Here is a 2316-nt window from a genome sequence, read left to right as displayed (position 1 = left end):
CCCAACAGAATTCCACGTCAGGAAACAAAAAGGAAAGACACACCCGTGGCGAAGGCCCCAGCCCCACCCCCTGCCCAGATAGACAGCCATCGGCGTGCGACAGAGACCCAGGAGAGGCTCCCTTGCCCCCTGCGTCCACACTGGGTGAGCCTGCAGCGCTGGGCAGGGCACCATGGACACCTGGCGAGGAAACGCAGCGGCAACATCTGCCTGCGCAGCCTGTGGCGGGGGCTGGTGTCGAAGGGCGCATGGGCCTTGCAAAGGGGCCCCAGCCAGCGCCCCCTGGCCCCGGAGCAGAGCTCTGCAAGGTAGGACTTCCCCGCGGCCTCCCAGGGCCATGTTTGGTTTTGCTGCCATTCTGGGAAGGCTGTGTGCCTCGCAGTTGTGCTCTGGGCCGAGTTTGTCTTCCTGACCCGTCACAGCAGCCTCAGCACTTTAATCCCGTCCAACGTGGCAACATCAAGGCACGTCCGTCAGGGGGACCTTTGAGCCCAGCGGGGCCAAGCGGCCTCCCAGCTGGAGCGCACAGAGGACAGCCAAGCCGACGTCCCCCTGCCCCAGAGTGGCCTCTGGAGCCAGCGCTGTCTCGGCAAAACATCACCCACCAAGTTATGTTCATGTTGGTTTTTAATTACATTTGTTTTATTTGCGGCTATTCGGCTTTATGGCGGAATACAAGTCAGCAAGAGCTTGTGCCCAGTTTTATTAAGCTGTTTGTACAGCATAAGTAGCCATTAAATCAAAACCCTGGGCAGTGGCAAGACTTTCGTTTCTGTTAAAGAGGGTCTGTGTGTGATTTCAGTCTGAGAAACACTGGGCCCCCGTGCTCCACGGTGACCACCTGCCACACGTGGGTGGTTTGGCAAGAGAAGCCATGTGGTGTTTCCTCCGAGTCCACACCAGGATGATGGTGCGTTAGCGATATGTGGTCAGAGGACACATCACCGTCAGAATTAACCCCGCCCGTCTCACGTTGCTTTTTAATGTGACTCCCAGGAAGCCTAGGATCCCCTGCGCAGCGCGTTCTGTGTATGGAGCAGCAGCACGAGCTGAGGCTCTGCTCCCGGTCCTTCCCTAGACCCCCTGCAGCTGCTGCCACCCTGGGTGCTGACCCTCCAGCCAGGGGTCTCGGCTTGGGCCCTGCAGGAGCGTGTGGCCCGGTCCCATCACCAGCGGGTCTCTGTGTCCAGCTGCACCAGCTCCTTCGGCTGGGGCCCTCCAAGGATGGCTGGGGCTGTGGGCGGCTCCAGGCCGGCTTCTGCCGTGCACCTGGTTTCTAACCCACCCGGAGCCATCCTACTTCCTAAGCTCTGTCCAGCGCCCAGTGGCTGGCCCAGCCTGGGATGAGGAACGTAACGGGGATGTGAGGTCAGTGTGGGGAGAGTGAGGGGCCTCCCAGGGCGGCTCCCACATCCTGCCTGTCCTGGCAGCCTCCCAGCCAGAACTCCTGCGGGGTGAGTCTGAACTTCCATATGGACCTCCGCCTGCTCCCGCCTCTTTGCCATTCAACCCCCGGAATCTGTGAAAAACAAAATAAAACTAAAACCCAACTCTCACCAGGCACGGTGGCTCACGCCTGTAATCCCAGCACTTTGGGAGACCAAGGCAGGTGAATCACTTGAAGTCAGGAGTTTGAGACCAGCCTGGCCAACATGGTGAAACCCTGTCTTTACCAAAAATATAAAAAATTAGCCAGGCGTGGTAGGGCACGCCTATAATCCCAGCTAATTGGGAGGCTGAGGCAGGAGAATCGCTTGAACCCGGGAGGCGGAGCTTGCAGTGAGCCGAGATCGCGCCACTGCACTCCAGCCTGGGCGACAGAGCGAGACTCTGTCTCAAAAAAAAAAAAAAAAAAAAAAAAAAGCACTAGTAGAAGCTGCCACCAGAGAGAGGCTCACATCCAGTTTTCACAGGACGCAAGAACTTTGCAGCAATGGCTGTGATTTCGCCCGTGGCTGGAGGATGTCTCGAGTCTGGACGCTGCCTCGGTGCGTGCAGCCGGGCTGGTGAGCCTGTTTCCCGCAGTCTGTGCTGCGCCCCAGGGATCTAGCAATGGCCGGCACCGTCCCCGCCTGCAGAGGACCTGGCAGCCAGGCAGAGCGCGTGTCAGCCCCAACACCGCAGACACCAGGGATTTGTTTCTGACAATCTGGAGGCTGGAAGTTCCGGGCCAAGGTGCCGGCCGACCTGGTTCCTGGAGCCACCTCGCGCCTTCCCTCTGCACAGGCAGGGAGCACGTGGTGTCTGTTCTTCTCCTGGAGGCCACGGCCCATGGGATCAGGACCCCACACTCCCGGCTCAGTTACCCTAACTACC

At 59.4% G+C, this 2316-nt stretch overlaps 3 annotated features.

Moving 5' to 3' along the window:
• Nucleotides 415–559: an enhancer, noted in NCBI's record as "145 bp enhancer 225 fragment used in the MPRA reporter construct; PK_construct_2169". NCBI's record gives its function as "activates an SV40 promoter by MPRA in HepG2 cells {active_cell/tissue: HepG2}" and the evidence as "EXISTENCE:reporter gene assay evidence [ECO:0000049][PMID:23512712]".
• Nucleotides 480–493: a transcriptional cis regulatory region, noted in NCBI's record as "HNF4 motif; enhancer activity is reduced when this motif is scrambled". NCBI's record gives its function as "necessary for full MPRA enhancer 225 activity {active_cell/tissue: HepG2}" and the evidence as "EXISTENCE:site-directed mutagenesis evidence [ECO:0005528][PMID:23512712]".
• Nucleotides 855–1776: an enhancer, noted in NCBI's record as "H3K27ac-H3K4me1 hESC enhancer chr10:833618-834539 (GRCh37/hg19 assembly coordinates)". NCBI's record gives its function as "activates a minimal SCP1, AML or CMV promoter by ChIP-STARR-seq in naive H9 embryonic stem cells {active_cell/tissue: H9 hESC(naive)}" and the evidence as "EXISTENCE:reporter gene assay evidence [ECO:0000049][PMID:30033119]".

This window comes from Homo sapiens, chromosome 10, assembly GCF_000001405.40.
Source record: "Homo sapiens chromosome 10, GRCh38.p14 Primary Assembly".
NCBI lineage: Eukaryota > Metazoa > Chordata > Mammalia > Primates > Hominidae > Homo > Homo sapiens.
The sequence above is the reverse complement of the archived record's forward strand: the minus strand, read 5'-3'. Positions and strand labels throughout refer to the sequence as shown.